The 17,359-nt window shown below is 34.9% G+C and overlaps 1 protein-coding gene across 2 annotated transcripts in view, besides 1 other annotated feature; it reads left to right on the top strand.

Moving 5' to 3' along the window:
• The window catches only part of SEMA3A (semaphorin 3A), a 536,949-nt gene that overhangs the window by 71,657 nt on the left and 447,933 nt on the right, over positions 1–17,359 (top strand). The gene's annotated exons all lie outside the window — the stretch shown is intronic.
• Positions 10,279–10,448: an enhancer, noted in NCBI's record as "experimental_100327 CRE fragment used in MPRA reporter constructs". NCBI's record gives its function as "activates a minimal promoter by MPRAs in K562 erythroleukemia cells, with activity observed for the non-introgressed 7:84040022 variant allele {active_cell/tissue: K562}" and the evidence as "EXISTENCE:reporter gene assay evidence [ECO:0000049][PMID:34662402]".

Genomic DNA, 17,359 nt, shown 5'->3' with positions numbered 1-17,359 from the left:
TTAAAAGAACTGGAGAAGCAAGAGCAAACAAATTCAAAATCTAGCAGAAAAGAAATAACTAAGATCAGAGCAGAACTGAAGGAGATAGAGACACAAAAAATCCTTTAAAAAATCAATGAATCTAGGAGCTGGTTTTTTGAAAAGATTAACAAAATAGATAGATGGATAGCCAGACCAATAAAGAATAAAAGAGAAAAGAATCAAATAGGCACAATAAAAAATGATAAAAGGAATATCACCACTGATCCCACAGAAATACAAACTACCATCCAAGAATACTATATACACCTCTAGGCAAATAAACTAGAAAATCTAGAAGAAATGAATAAATTCCTGGACACATACACCCTCCCAAGACTTTAAATCATAGACTTTAAATGATATGCTTGTAATGTTTCTCAGAATGGATCTTTTTGAGGTTATGCTAGTTAGAATTTGTTGAGCCTCTTGAATCAGGAGATTTACGTTTTTTATCAAATAAGAAAAGTTTTTGCCATTATTCTTCATATATTTTTTCATCCCACAGGTCACTTGGTTCACTTTATTATTCTTTCTGTTTTTCAGACTGGATAATTTTAATTGACCTATCTTCAAGTCTGCTGTTATTTTCTTCTGACTTTTCAAATCTCCTATTGAGCACTCTAGTGAATTTTTTATTTCAGTTATTGTAATTTTAAGTTCCATAATGTCTAATTGTTTCTTTTTAAAATATTTTTTGTGTCTACTTGTACATCCATCATTTTCCTGGTTTCCCTCAGTTCTTGGTGTGTAGTTTTTAATAGTTCTTTGAGAATATTTAAGACTGTTTATTTAAACTATTTATATTATAAACACAATGTCAGGGATTCCTCAGGGATGGTATCTGTCACTTTTTTTTTTTCCTGTGAATGAGACATAGTTTCCTGTTTCTTTGTATGTCATGTGACTGTTTTATCCAAATCTGAATATTTGAATCCTATGAAAATTCTGGGAACAAGATTCTCCTTCTTCCCCAGAACTCACTATCTTTGACTGTAAAAATATATTTAGTAACTTTTCTTATTTTTGCAAAGATTGTATTCAGTGTCACTTATGGTCATTTAACTGTCAGTTCCTTTAGCGTGTGTTCAGCTAGTATCATGGCAGAAATTTCCTTGAATGCCGGAGGCAACACATCAATAAACAAACAAAAAAGCAGTTTTTGTAGATTGCATCTGTTCTGGAGCATTCCTTCAATACTTAATCAGGCTGTTAACAATGCTGCCTTAGCCTTTATTTCCTGATTAGACTGCCCAAATCTGCTGTTGAATACCCTAGCGAAATTTTCAATTTAGTTATTGCACTTCTCAGATAGAGATCACCCAGATGTGAAAGCTTATGATCTTCTCAAGCTTTTGCTGAGCATACATTCCACTCTGAACCTGTATGTGGCTTTCTAAATCCTCCAGTGTACATAGGCACTTTTGAATGTCAAACCTTCCCAAGGAAACTCTCCCCCAAGCTTTTCCTCCTAGGCTTTAGGCAGTCTATTTTAGGTCTCAACTATTTTTTTTTTTTTTTGGTCTCATGCAGCTGTGAGATTATGTTTGCCTTACAATGTTTTGAAGTATACCCATTGCTTTTCCACCCTGAAAGAGTTCTAATTTTGCTGAAAGCTCTGCTTTTTTGGGCAAGCCAGTTAGCCTTCCTGTCCCTTATGTATACAATGGAGATAATAACAATACATAGCTGTATCATTTAAGATATACTACATTGTGCTTCTATAACAAAAACTTCCCAAATCTCAGTAGCTTAAAACAAATTTGCTTCTTTCATGTTCTTGACATATTTGTATTGATTGTCACAAAGGGGCCCTACTTAGTCACTTAGGGATATAGACTACATCTAAATAATTGCCTCTTCAAATAGTCGAGAGAAAATTTCACACTGGTTATTTAGAATTGAGGGTGACACACATCATTTCCACCTTAACTGACCAACTAATCTCATATAGCCATACATAAATTCAATTCATGGAGAAGTTGAATCCTACTATATAACATGAAAGAGAAACCAATTGTATTAGTCAGTGTTCTCCAGAAGGAAAGAATCAATAAGATATGTATGTATGTATATATATGTATGTGTGTGTGTATATATATATGTGTAGATATATGTATATATATATGTGTATTTATGTGTATATATGTGTGTATATATATATGAGATTTTATTAGAGAGAATTGACTCACAGTTACAAGGCTATGTCCCAGGATAGTCCATCTTCAAATTGGGAAAGAGAGAAACCAGCAGCATGGCTCAGTCCAAGTCCCAAAGCCTGAAAACCAGGGAAGTTGACAGTGCAGCCCTCAGTCTGAGGCTAGAGGCTCAAGAGCCCCCCGGAGGCTACTGGTACAAGTGCCAGAGTACTAAAGCTTAAGAACCCAGAGTATGATGTCCAAGGGCAGGAGGAGAGGAAGCCATGGGAAGACAGAAAAATAGAGGACTCAGCAACCTGCTTATCCCTCTTCTTCAGCCTCCTTTGTTTTAGTCAAACTGGCAGCAAATTGGAGGGTGCCCACCCACATTGAGGGTGGGTGATATGGTTAGGATGTGTCCCCACTCAAATCTCATCTTGAATTGTAGCTCCCATAATTCCCACATGTTGTGGGTGGGACCTGGTGGGAGGTAATGGAATCATGGGAGTGGGTCTTTCCCTTTCTGTTCTCATAGTAGTGAATAAGTCTCATGAGATCTGTGGTTTTATAAAGTGGAGTTCCCCTGCACATGCTCTCTTTTTGTCTGCCAGCATGTCAGATGTGACTTTGCTCCTCATTCATCTGTCATCATTGTGAAGCCTTCCAGTCAGGTGGAACTGTGTGTCAATTAAACCTCTTTCCTTTATAAATTGCCCAGTCTTGGGTATGTCTTTATTACCAGCATGAGAACAGTTTAGAACAGTGGGTCTTCCTCTCCCAGTCCACTGACTTAAATGTCATTCTTCTCTGGCAACACCCTCACAGACACACTCAGAAACAAAACTTTACCAGCCACCTAGGCATCCCTCAATCCAGTCAAGGCGACGCCTAATATTAACAATCACATCAATTATATGTGAAAATCCCTAAAAACTGTCATTCTTCCTCGAAGGGTTGGTATGAGAAATAAGTATTTAATATTAGCTTAATAATTAGACTAGCGTTTGGTACTTAGTAATTGCTATCTATATAATGTTAAATACATACATTCAGCTTTCAGTCATAATTCTGAACCATTACACCTGCAATTTAAATTTATGAAGAGTCCTCTATCCACTCATCCAACCCCCATGAAAAAAATAACTACTTCAGCATTTTGCTTATGAACTAATTTGGATTAGGTTACTATATCCTTCATGTCTAAGGTGATGTTAAGGAATAACTGAGTATTAACAGCAATATATAATAAAATAAATAAGAAAAAGTCATTTTTAAAATTAGTAATTTGTTATTATAATTTGCATAATTCAAGCAATAAATACGTTTTCCATAGTATTAGGTAAAGTCACTAAAAAATTTAAAACTTTAAACAGAAATTTTTTGTGAGAATAAGTTTGTCATTGATGTTATATGGAAACAAACGCGTCATAAATTTTTGGTGAAGAAATATATTTACATTTATACATGTTTATCAGTTTATTTTTTCAGAATCTTTAAAGTGAATGTCTCTGCCTTCTATCATGTAAATAGACATTTTACACTATACTATTCATCAATCAAATTAATTTAATACTATATATTGATTTAAATGCTAAAGGAAGGTTTTTATCAAGTTAACAGTTCTGGACCAAACAACACTGTAGCTTTCTATATTTACTTTACATTTACATTTTGTAGTGAGTCTTGTATTATGCACAGAATATCTGAAATAATTTTGTACTATTGTAATTAAGTATTAAATCACAATATAGTAATGTACCCTTTGTTCATGGTTGGAGCAAGATTGCTCTGAACTGGAATTAAGTATTTATTGTAAATGCAGCCAAATCAAACTGTTTAGTACAGAACCTAAATTTAAAAAACACTATGGTCAGTTACACTAATCAAATAAATTAAAGTTTAAAAAAAGTTTTTAAAATTTCAAGTACCATGGGATTCTTAACGAACAAGCAAAGAATTGAGTTTTTAATTCTCTCTGGAAGTCTGCTATATTATAGCTGCAACTCCATCTGGATTAAAAAATAGTGTCTGGATCATTTTATTCTTCTGAAAGTTTGTCTTTTGCTCCAAGTTTTTCTCCAAATACTGTAAATCATATCTGTCCAATTTCAAAGAAAAGTGAGAACACTTGAGAACAACAATTTTTTGAAATCTGAAGTTTCTGTAACTTTAACTTTTCCAATCTGGTTTCCAACTAAAAATTAAGATAGCTCCTACCTTTATTCACTTAAGTCAATATGAAACCCAAGATTCATGTTTGAAAGAGTTTTTTCAACTTCAAACCTTTGCGTTTTTAAGCTAAATGTTTGTGAATACAACTGCATTTTATGGATGCTGATTAGCAAGGGATAATCAGCACCAATAAAATGAGCTCGTAAATGCCCAGCCAATACCAAAAGACATTGTATGTTTTGGTAAGTGAGTGCAGTACAAGCAAGTTGACATTACATGTATATACTTGTATTAGTCCATTTTCACACTGCTCATAAACACATACCTGAGACTAGGAAGAAAAAGAGGTTTAATTGGACTTACAGTTCCACATGGCTGGGGAGGCCTCAGAATCATGGCGGAAGGTGAAAGGCACTTCTTACATGGTGGTGGCAAGAGAAAATGAGGAAGAAGCAAAAGTGGAAATCCTCGATACACCCATCAGATCTCATGAGACTTATTCATTATCACGAGAATAGCACTGGAAAGACTGGCTCCCATGATTCAATTACCTCCCACTGTGTTCCTCTGACAACACATGGGAATTCTAGGAGATACAATTCAAGTTGAGATTTGGGTGGGGACATAGCCAAACCATATCAGTACTTTTAGAGGCTTTTAAAATTAGTCCCACATTATACTTTATAAGAATCTTTGGAGTCTATTTAACTAAATGGAGATTACTGGTCTACCTACTAAGGAAATAAAATTTAATACTATTAACAGAATTTATTGAGTATTAAATATATGATTGATAATTTTGGTGCCGTATCCCTAACATAACACAGAGTGTAATTAAGTTTGCCAATGATACACAGCTTGCAAGTAGCAATTATGATATTTGAAAATTGCTATAAAAAAAATACAAAAACGCTGTCACTGCAAAGCTATGTCCTAAGGGCTATGGTTTTTCTATGACTGGAGAATCAGGACACATATAGAAGCAAATTGATATCACCTTAAAATATATATAAGAAAAAATGCCAAAACATGCTACATATTTCATTATTGATGTCCTCAAATGATTAATTTAAAAAATTCCAAACCTGAAGAGGAGTTGGAAGATTAGCAAATTAACACCTCCATACCCATTATCTAGATTCATCAGGTATAAGTAGTTTGGCCAAATTTACTTTCTGCCTTCCCCAAGTGGTATCATTATCAGATCCATTTGAAAGCAATATGAAAATAATTGTGAAATACAATCTCAAAATTTTTCTGCATGTAATTTTTAAAAGCTAGGACAGTGTTCTACAAAAGTGGAAGTTCTGTTACTTCACACAAGAACTTTAACTTTGATATATTAATATTAAGCAAAAAACAAATTCTGATACTTGTTAATAAGTGAAAGAGATTACTAGATATCCTTTGGTATACCCATTAGTTCTAGGCTTACAATTTTGGTAAATTTTCTATTGACTGATGTATTTTATAACAGATTTATGAAATTTATGAAACAGATTTTTTAACACAGATTTATGAAATAACAGAGGTCACCTGGTAGATTTCTGTTTATACAGATGCGAATCATTTCTATCTGTTTGAAACAACAACTCTACAGCTACAGTTTATTGCTCTAGTTTTATATCTAATCCAGCAATACTATCTTAATATCCCTTTATTAATTTGCCTTATAGAAACCTAACTCTTCATATAATCTTTGGATTGGTTAATATCTTACTGGTTCCCTTATTAAGTGATGTGAGCTAGATAAATATTTTAGATGTATTTATTTTTTATTTGTTCCTCATGGTTTTTAAATTTCTGTAAATCAAACTTTAACAATAATGTTATCTAACATATAGTGTTTATTTGAATTTCCCCATTGTCTCAATGGTTCTTTGCTGATTCGTTTATTTATTTGATTATTTTGATCCAGGATTCAAACAATGATTCTGCATTTTAATTGGTTACCTGTCTTTTTAGTTTAATGTGAAATTACACTTTGTTCATTTCGCCTTTTTTTTGTTTTTCATGATATTGACATTTTTTCTTTTAATAATAGAGCCAAATTTTCTGATAGAATGTCCCACCATCTGAGTGTTTTTGAACGTTTATTCATGATTACACTAAGGTTAAACAACTTTGACAAGAATACTACACGTGATGTTGTGTACTTCCTATTATACTAGAATCACATAATGACCATTTGTGTCTTCTTAGAAGATGCCAAATTCAGCCTGTTGGTGAAGGTGATTTCTGTGAGAATTTCCATTGTAAAGTTTCATTTCATTGCACGTATTTATCAAGCCATTTGTGGGGTGTTGCTTTGAGGCTACATAACAATACTGTTTTTTTTTTTTTTTTACTTTTAGCCAATTATTTATCATGTGCTGATTACTTTTGTTGAGTTAATTATTACATTAATGTTTACACAACCAAATTTTTCACTCTAAAATGTTAATGTTTATGGGCAATGGAAATGGTTAGGGGAGTTTAAGAGTGGGATCAAAAGATATATGCATAGATGTTCATACACAGGTGCATAGCTTCCAGATTTCAAACAAAAATGGTGAACATTGATTAGAAAACTATTTTTAATATAAAACAAGAAAACAAATATATAATTTACTTTTTAAACTGGAATCAAATTGCTCAAGTTGGTGCGGGGTTAAGCCACAAATATTATTATAAGATTAATAAAGTATCAGTTAATAGAGTAATCAGAAATTTACGGTGAAGCAGTATATGTGACCTTGAATCTAATTTTTCTGTCTTCTAAATTTGGAATAATAATACATACTTCATAAGGCTTTAGAGAGGCAAATGATGCATAGGACTGCTTTGAGGATTAATTGAGATACTACATCTAAATTGCAGATTATATGTCCTGGCATGTAAAAATGATTTGTAAATCTTAGTTATTTTCACTACGTTATATTTTTCCTACACATCCCATTATTTATTGTTTCTTTTTTAAAAATGACTAGTATAAAACAAAGAAATAGAATAAAGTCTAGACTGCTTTCAAGTTTTTTCTCTCTACATACGCAATTTCAATTGATTGATTTTTACTTCTACTACTACTACTAAGTTTTGTGTTTTTTTGTTTGTTTGTTTGTTTTGGACACAGGGTCTCACTCTGACACCCTGTCACCCAGGCTAGCGTGCAATGGCATGATCACAGCTCACCACAGCCTCGATTTCCCAGAATCAGGTGGTCTTCCCACTTCAGCCCCCTGAGTAGCTGGGACTACAGGCACATGCCATCACACCTAGCTAACTTTTGTGTTTTTTGTAGAGACAGGGTTTTGCCATGTTTCCTCGGCTGGTCTCAAACTTCTGGGCTCAAGCAATCCTCCTGACTCAGCCTCCTAAAGTGCTGAGATTACAGGTATGAGGCACCACACTCGGCCTGCTTTCTACAGTATATTCTACTTCTTATTTTAACTTTTTGGTTATTGATTTAAAATGGACCCTATAAAATCTTTAAGAATGTGACTTTCATTGTTAAAAAACCTTCACTTAGAGAGGCTATGGCAATAGAACCATTATTCTACACATATAATACATCCTGTGATGTCATAACTGCATCAGTTATGAAGGGTAAGTTCCTACATAGAAGTCAGTAGATGAAGAAAGAAATGTATAATAGTAATCATTCCAGAAGCATGTATAGAAAAATTAAAACTACTAAAATGTTGCATTTGTTGATGAAAGGTGGTATTTCCTTCCAAAAATAGAAAAGTAATTTTTGTTGAATTCCTTAAATTTGTCTTGAAAAAGAAATTTGTGTATGAATGTGTGTGTGTGAGTGTGTGTGTATGTGTGTGTGTGTTTTGGAAGGAAGTTGTGAAACATCTTTATGCAGGACTCTTTCCAAATTTATACCAGCTTTGTAAACTTGAGTCATTCCTATCTAAAAAACTATAGCTGGGAGAAGTGTCGTTGCAGTGACTCAACCATAGTGTTTGCTTCTGTTTATATTTTCAGTTAAAATGGAAGAAATCATGGAAATAGTTTAGAAGCTTTAACAATCCCTCATTGACAAATAAAAAGGCTTGCTTTCAAAATAACCCATCCAGTATAATCTTTATACCACTTAGAGCTCAACTACAAAGATTGCTCATCAGGAAAGGATAAAGGGAATGTGGTGATCCTTCTTTGTAAATGATCTAGCTCTTGTTTTATTTGCCTATTACTTTGAACCATTTCTGTATCAAAGTCATGGCTAGTAATGAAAGAGCTTTAGGGGGATTTTTGACTGACATGTACCATTACTAATAAATTGCCTCAGAATGTAAAAATGTGACCCCTCAGGTGGTTCAACCACATTGTTTGCAAACTGTGACTAAGTATCAAATTCCAGCTTTTTTGCTAAGCACTCACCATGGAACAATACAGTTCCACTTTTTAATGCTTCATCGCTGATTGTGTAGGTCATAATTAGAGATGCAGCTGGGGATGAATGGAGAAGAATGTGCTGTGCAATTGGCTGTAACCAATCTGACCCTGCTTGATCCATGCTCCTTAAAAACCTGTGACCTCCTGTAGCCTCATGCATGATCCTTGTATGTGGTTAGCACAGCCTCCCTGCCAACCTTTCATCAATAGGCTTTTCAAACCACCACTTTGCTTTGTAGCCTTATCAAGGCATTCATTTTGAGCTGTCATAAATGGCATCTAGGAGTTCAAAGTTTGCCCAGCACAATAAGAAAAGTCACTATAGGTGTCTTAGGAAAGAAAGCAAGAAGTGTTGTAGAATTTGTAGAAATTACATATGTTAAAATAAGTGCACATTTGAATCAAGGAAGAACCACAAAAGAATGGAATAATGGAGAGAGATACAAGGTGTCTATTTTATAGAATCTACTTTATTACCAGGATTCAATTTTACAAGTTTTATTTAATCCATCAAGATACAGTTTACAGGTGGTCCATGACCTCTTCTTGAAAGAAAAAAGAAAGAAAACAAACCTGAATCTAAACTGTTGTTTAAACCCAGCTGTTTCATGTTGCCAGGAGAAAATAAAAAATGCCAAAAAATTTCTCAACATACGTAAGGAAAAGCCTAAAAATTTTTCAATAAAATGTTTACACAGATTTTGAAATGTAGATAGTTAATATATTTGAGGCCACTGCATTTTTTCAGTTATTTTTCTATAATACTAGAATATGAATATATATATATATAATTATACCCAAATGTCAATATTTTAAGAAACTGATGCAATTATATTAGTAGTCTATTATTTTTGAAATAGGTTTAATACAAAAGACTGGTTAGGCTGATATTTTGGAAACACCATAATGGAAGTAACAGGACATAGAATCAATAATTCATGGTAAGCAAAGGAAACCCAGCATTCTAGCATCCCTGAGAGATAAATCCCTGCTGACAATAAAATGTCTTATTATTCCTGTTCAAGTTTATGCTCCAATGACTGTGCTTTCTACTTTATCCCTTAATGTGGTTATTTGTTAAAACATAAATTAATAATCATAGCCATTTTGCAATATTATAAAAAATCCCAAGTGGACCGCTACCAATTTTTTTCCTAGTCCAGAAATCAAGTATTACAGGGTGGGAGAAGAATGCTATCTCTCTACCTCTCCATTGATGTTTCTAAGATACAGTTAGCTGGATTTTCTCTCCCTCTGTCTCATAAACATATACCCACACACAGATACACAAACACACAGACAATATAAACATCTGCTAATACACTGACCTACTGAAAGTTTATATTCCTCTATCTTAAACCTTCAGATTTGGAGTGGAATAAAAAGTTACAATCCCCCGACAACGACAACAAGAAAAACCTGAAGTAAGTTCTATCTAATAGTTGTCACTGTGTCAGTATAAAGCTAGTTAGTCTCTTAGGTGCAGATACCCTGGGAAAACGGTCAAATAGCTTTTAAGAGTCTAAGTGTACAGAAACACAAATACTTTGGAATGCTCTAGAGGTACAGGGTTAAATGCTCCCCCAAGCAATTTGACATTTCCGTGTTAATTCAGCTTGTAGAAACATATAATTAGAATCTCTAATACCTGCATTTTTCTTTTCTTTATGCGAAAAACATGTGGTGGTGCACGCAGCAATAAATACACTGGGAAAGGAACTCTTTGTGGGGTGGCTTGACATATTCTGCTGAAAGGCCACAACTACTACATTTCCAACAGAAAACAAAGAAAAATACACTCTATTCCTTTATTGGAAACTAGCACCTCTCCTTAAAACTAAAATAGGTGCTTTCATGTAACATAAGTAATTTTCTTCTTTACAGGTGTTGAACCAAGTAGTCTGGGGAGTGTGCAATCTGGGTTGGGAATTAAATCCAGGTTGCTTGCTTAATAGTAGAAAACATAGCCATGTAGGCATGAGGCTGACATTAAAAGAATGTCTTTTATCTTGAAAATTATAGAAGAAAATGACCCCCTGATGAAAAACTGCACTCAATTCTCAACAAATGAAAAATATATTGTGTATGTTTATAAATATAAAGGTAAATATATAAAATACATGTAAATTATTGTATAGAAAGTATAAAGGATTGTGTGAATTTGTGTTTTTCTTTAAGAGCAGACAGTTACATAACATAAGATGAAACAATGAGTTTACTTTTGTTGATTCTTATACAGGAACAAAACAATTAACAGTCTTGTATTTTCAACTCAATTTTGTCTTTCTCCATGGAAAAATTTTCTTTAAAATCAGTTATACTATAACCAATGCTACTCCCTACGTGATCCTTATGAATCATTTTTCCAAATAACAAAAATGAAAGCTATTAAGAAAAGATTAAGTAAAATTTACATTTATTTCAGTAAAATTCATATTTCTGTACTTTATACCTCACAATAGGAGAAACGTGGAAAGCAATGCATAAATATCTAATAAATAAAATTTGTACATAAGTTTTATAACTTCTTTCTAAATTAATTTGTTTCAACAATAACTGTTTCCAGAAATCATATGCCATAGCTTAGTTTTTCTTATCTAACTTATTTGGTCCAAGAAAGTCAGTGATTGAGAAAACACATTTGCTTGATTATTCTCATTTGGGAACTACTAAATCAAACACAAATTAGTTTTTTTTCTTTTAATACAAGAAGAATTTACACAATAGCTATTTTGTATCTATGGATGGTTAAATACGTTTCAGAGAAGTAAGTAAACTTCAGCTATGAATCACAAGTAAATACTAAGTTAAATGTAATAATGTAAAATTTCTTTCCCCCTCATGTCTTGATCTAAAAACATTAGGGCAGTTGTAAAATGCCAAGGAAGTAACACAAAAAGGGCTAATGTGAAAGATGCAATTGGGATTTGTATGTATAATGTGGCAGTATGACAGATTTTAGAGGAATACAGAAGCAAAATAGAACACTAGATAATTATATAACTATAATTTTTTTATTTTAAAAAATTGATTCATAATAGTTGTATATATTTATGGGGTACATGTGGTATTTTGATACAAGCATCCAAGGTATAATAATCAAATTAAGGTAATTAAAATATCCATCACCTCAAAGATGTATCATTTGTTTTTGTTGGGAACATTCCAATACTTCTAGATATTTTGAAATGTGCAATAAATTATTTTTAATGATAGTGTCCTATTGTGCTGTCAAACAATAGAACCTATCCTTCTAACTGTATTTTTTTTTACATTTGAATATATATATACATATATATATATTTTTATTATTATTATACTTTAAGTTTTAGGGTACATGTGCACAACGTGCAGTTTTGTTACATATGTATACATGTGCCATGTTGGTGTGCTGCACCCAATAACTTGTCATTTAGCATTAGGTATATCTCCTAATGCGATCCCTCCCCGCTCCCCCAACCCCACAACAGTCCCCGGTGTGTGATGTTCCCCTTCCTCTGTCCATGTATTCTCATTGTTCAATTCCCACCTATGAGTGAGAACATGTGGTGTTTGGTTTTTTGTCCTTGCGATAGTTTGCTGAGAATGATGGTTTCCAGCTTCATCCATGTCCCTACAAAGGACATGAACTCATCATTTTTTTATGGCTGCATAGTATTCCATGGTGTATATGTGCCACATTTTCTTAATCCACTCTATCATTGTTGGACATTTGGGTTGGTTCTAAGTCTTTGCTATTGTGAATAGTGCCACAATAAACATATGTGTGCATGTGTCTTTATAGCAGCATGATTTATAATCCTTTGGGTATATAGCCAGTAATGGGATGGCTGGGTCAGATGGTATTTCTAGTTCTAGATCCCTGAGGAATCGCCACACTGACTTCCACAATGGTTGAACTAGTTTACAGTCCCACCAACAGTGTAAAAGTGTTCCTATTTCTCCACATCCTCTCCAGCACCTGTTGTTTCCTGACTTTTTAATGATTGCCATTCTAACTGGTGTGAGATGATATCTCATTGTGGTTTTGATTTGCATTTCTCTGATGGCCAGTGATGGTGAGCATTTTTTCATGTGGTTTTTGGCTGCATAAATGTCTTCTTTTGAGAAGCGTCTGTTCATATCCTTCACCCACTTGTTGATGGGGTTGTTTGTTTTTTTCTTGTAAATTTGTTTGAGTTCATTGTAGATTCTGGATATTAGCCCTTTGTCAGATGAGTAGGTTGCAAAATTTTCTCCCATTCTGTAGGTTGCCTATTCACTCTGATGGTGGTTTTCTTTGCTGTGCAGAAGCTCTTTAGTTTAATTAGATCCCATTTGTCAATTTTGGCTTTTGTTGCCATTGCTTTTGTGCTTTAGACATGAAGTCCTTGCCCATGCTTATGTCCTGAATGGTAATGCCTAGGTTTTCTTCTAGGGTTTTTATGGTTTTAGGTCTAACATGTAAGTCTTTAATCCATCTCGAATTAATTTTTGTATAAGGTGTAAGGAAAGGATCCAGTTTCAGCTTTCTACATATGGCTAACCAGTTTTCCCAGCATCATTTATTAAATAGGGAATCCCTTCCCCATTGCTCGTTTTTGTCAGGTTTGTCAAAGATCAGATAGTTGTAGATATGTGGCATTATTTCTGAGGGCTCTATTCTGTTCCATTGGTCTACATCTCTGTTTTGGTACCAGTACCATGCTGTTTTGGTTACTGTAGCCTTGTAGTATAGTTTGAAGTCAGGTACGGTGATGCCTCCAGCTTTGTTCTTTTGGCTTAGGATTGACTTGGCAATGTGGGCTCTTTTTTGGTTCCATATGAACTTTAAAGTAGTTTTTTCCAATTCTGTGAAGAAAGTCATTGGTAACTTGATGTGGATGGCATTGAATCTATAAATTACCTTGGGCAGTATGACCATTTTCACGATATTGATTCTTCCTACCCATGAGCATGGAATGTTCTTCCATTTGTTTGTATCCTCTTTTATTTCATTGAGCAGTGGTTTGTAGTTCTCCTTGAAGAGGTCCTTCATATCCCTTGTAAGTTGTATTCCTAGGCATTGTATTCTCTTTGAAGCAATTGTGAATGGGAGTTCACTCATGATTTGGCTCTCTGTTATTGGTGTATAAAAATGCTTGTGATTTTTGCACATTGATTTTGTATCCTGAGACTTTGCTGAAGTTGCTTATCAGCTTAAGGAGATTTTGGGCTGAGATGATGGGGTTTTCCAGATATACAATCATGTCATCTGCAAACAGGGACAATTTGAATTCCTCTTTTCCTAATTGAATACCCTTTATTTCCTTCTCCTGCCTGATTGCCCTGGCCAGAACTTCCAACACTATGTTGAATGGGAGTGGTGAGAGAGGGCATCCCTGTCTTGTGCCAGTTTTCCAAGGGAATGCTTCCAGTTTTTGTCCATTCAGTATGATATTGGCTGTGGTTTTGTCATAGATAACTCTTATTATTTTGAGATACGTCCCATCAATACCTATTTATTGAGAGTTTTTATCACGAAGTATTGTTGAATTTTGTCAAAGGCCTTTTCTGCATCTATTGAGATAATCATGTGGTTTTTGTCTTTGGTTCTGTTTATATGCTGGATTATGTTTATTGATTTTCATATGTTGAACCAGCCTTGCATCCCAGGGATGAAGCCCACTTGATCATGGTGGATAAGCTTTTTGATGTGCTGCTGGATTCAGTTTGCCAGTATTTTATTGAGGATTTTTGCATCAATGTTCATCAAGGATATTGGTCTAAAATTCTCTTTTTTTTTGTTGTGTCTCTGCCAGGCTTTGGTATCAGGATGATGTTGGCCTCATAAAATGAGTTAGGGAGGATTCCCTCTTTTTCTGTTGATTGGAATAGTTTCAGAAGGAATGCTACCAGCTCCTCTTTGTACCTCTGGTAGAATTCGGCTGTGAATCCATCTTGTCCTGGACTTTTTTTGGTTGGTAAACTATTAATTATTGCCTCAATTTCAGAGCCTGTTATTGGTCTATTCAGAGATTCAGCTTCTTCCTGGTTTAGTCTTGGGAGGGTGTATGTGTCAAGGAATTTATCCATTTCTTCTAGATTTTCTAGTTTATTTGCCTAGAGGTGTTTATAGTATTCTCTGATGGTAGTTTGTATTTCTGTGGGATCGGTGGTGATATCCCCTTTGTCATTTTTTATTGCATCTATTTGATACTTCTCTCTTTTCTTCTTTATTAGTCTTGCTAGTGGTCTATCAATTTTGTTGATCTTTTCAAAAAACCAGCTCCTGGATTCATTGATTTTTTGAAGGTTTTTTTGTGTCTCTATTTCCTTCAGTTTTGCTCTGATCTTAGTTATTTCTCGCCTTCTGCTAGCTTTTGAATGTGTTTCCTTTTGCTTCTCTAGTTCTTTTAATTGTGTTGTTAGGGTGTGAATTTTAGATCTTTCCTGCTTTCTCTTGTGGCCATTTAGTGCTATAAATTTCCCTCTACATACTGCTTTGAATGTGTCCCAGAGATTCTGGTATGTTGTGTCTTTGTTCTCATTGGTTTCAAAGAACATCTTTATTTCTGCCTTCATTTTGTTATGTACCCAGTAGTCATTCAGGAGCATGTTGTTGTTCAGTTTCCATGTAGTTGAGTGGTTTTGAGTGAGTTTCTTAATCCTGAGTTCTAGTTTGATTGCACTGTGGTCTGAGAGACAGTTTGCTATAATTTCTGTTCTTTTACATTTGCTGAGGAGTGCTTTACTTCCAACTATGTGGTCATTTTTGGAATAGGTGTGGTGTGGTGCTGCAAAGAATGCATATTCTGTTGATTTGGGGTGGAGAGTTCTGTAGATGTCTATTACGTCTACTTGGTGCAGAGCTGAGTTCAATTCCTGGATATCCTTGTTAACTTTCTGTCTCGTTGATCTGTCTAATGTTGACAGTGAGGTGTTAAAGTCTCCCATTATTGTTGTGTGGGAGTCTAAGTCTCTTTGTAGGTCACTAAGGACTTGCTTTATGAATCTGGGTGTTAATGTATTGGGTGCATATATATTTAGGATAGTTAGTTCTTCTTGTTGAATTGATCCCTTGACCATTATGTAATGGCCTTCTTTGTCTCTTTTGATCTTTGTTGGTTTAAAGTCTGTTTTATCAGAGACTAGGATTGTAAACCCTGCCTTTTTTTGTTTTCCATTTCCTTGGTAGATCTTCCTCCATCCCTTTTTTTTGAGCCTATGTGTGTCTCTGCACCTGAGATGGGTTTCCTGAGTACAGCACACTGATGGGTCTTGACCCTTTATCCAATTTGCCACTATGTGCCTTTTAATTGGAGCATTTAGCCCATTTACATTTAAGGTTAGTATTGTTATGTGTGAATTTGATCCTGTCATTATGTTTTTAGCTGGTTATTTTGCTCGTTAGTTGATACAGTTTCTTCCTAGCCTTGATGGTCTTTACAATTTGGCATGTTTTTGCAGTGGCTGGTACCAGTTGTTCCTTTCCATGTTTAGTGCTTCCTTCAGGAGCTCTTTTAGGGCAGGCCTGGTGGTGACAAAATCTCTCAGCATTTGCTTGTCTGTAAAGTATTTTATTTCTCCTTCACTTATGAAGCTTAGTTTGGCTGGATATGAAATTCTGGGTTGAAAATTCTTTCCTTTAAGAATGTTGAATATTGGCCCCCACTCTCTTCTGGCTTGTAGAGTTTCTGCCAAGAGATCAGCTGTTAGTCTGATGGGCTTCCCTTTTTGGGTAACCCGACCTTTCTCTCTGGCTGCCCTTAACATTTTTTCCTTCATTTCAACTTTGGTGAATCTGACAATTATGTGTCTTGGAGTTGCTCTTCTCGAGGAGTATCTCTGTGGCATTCTCTGTGTTTCCTGAATTTGAATTTTGGCCTGCCTTGCTAGATTGGGGAAGTTCTCCTGGATAATATCCTGCAGAGTGTTTTCCAACTGGGTTCCATTCTCCCCGTCACTTTCAGGTACACCAATTAGACGTAGATTTGGTCTTTTCACATAGTCCCATATTTCTTGGAGGCTTTGTTCGTTTCTTTTTATTCTTTTTTTTCTAAACTTCTCTTCACGCTTCATTTCATTCATTTTGTCTTCCATCGCTGATACCCTTTCTTCCAGTTGATTGCATTGGTTACTGAGGCTTGTGCATTCATTACGTAGTTCTCGTCCTGTGGTTTTCAGCTCCATCAGGTCCTTGAAGGACTTCTCTGCACTGTTTATTCCAGTTATCCATTCGTCTAATTTTTTTTCAAAGTTTTTAACTTCTTTGCCATTATTTGGAACTTCCTCCTTTAGCTTGGAGTAGTTTGATCTTCTGAAGCCTTCTTCTCTCAACTCTTCAAAGTCGTTCTCCGTCCAGCTTTGTTCTGTTGCTGGTGAGGAGCTGTGTTCCGTTGGAGGAGGAGAGGCGCTCTGATTTTTAGAGTTTCCGGTTTTTCTGCTTTGTTTTTTCCCCATCTTTGTGGTTTTATCTACCTTTGGTCTTTGATGATGGTGACCTACAGATGGGTTTTTGGTGTGGATGTCCTTTCTGTTTGTTAGTTTTCCTTCTAACAGTCAGGACCCTCAGCTGCAGGTCTATTGGAGTTTACTGGAGGTCCACTCCAGACCCTGTTTGCCTGGGTATCAGCAGTGGTGGCTGCAGAACAGCAGATATTGGTGAACCGCAAATGTTGCTGCCTGAT

Source organism: Homo sapiens, chromosome 7, assembly GCF_000001405.40.
Source record: "Homo sapiens chromosome 7, GRCh38.p14 Primary Assembly".
Classification (NCBI taxonomy): domain Eukaryota; kingdom Metazoa; phylum Chordata; class Mammalia; order Primates; family Hominidae; genus Homo; species Homo sapiens.
This window is presented reverse-complemented; position numbering and strand designations above follow the sequence as displayed.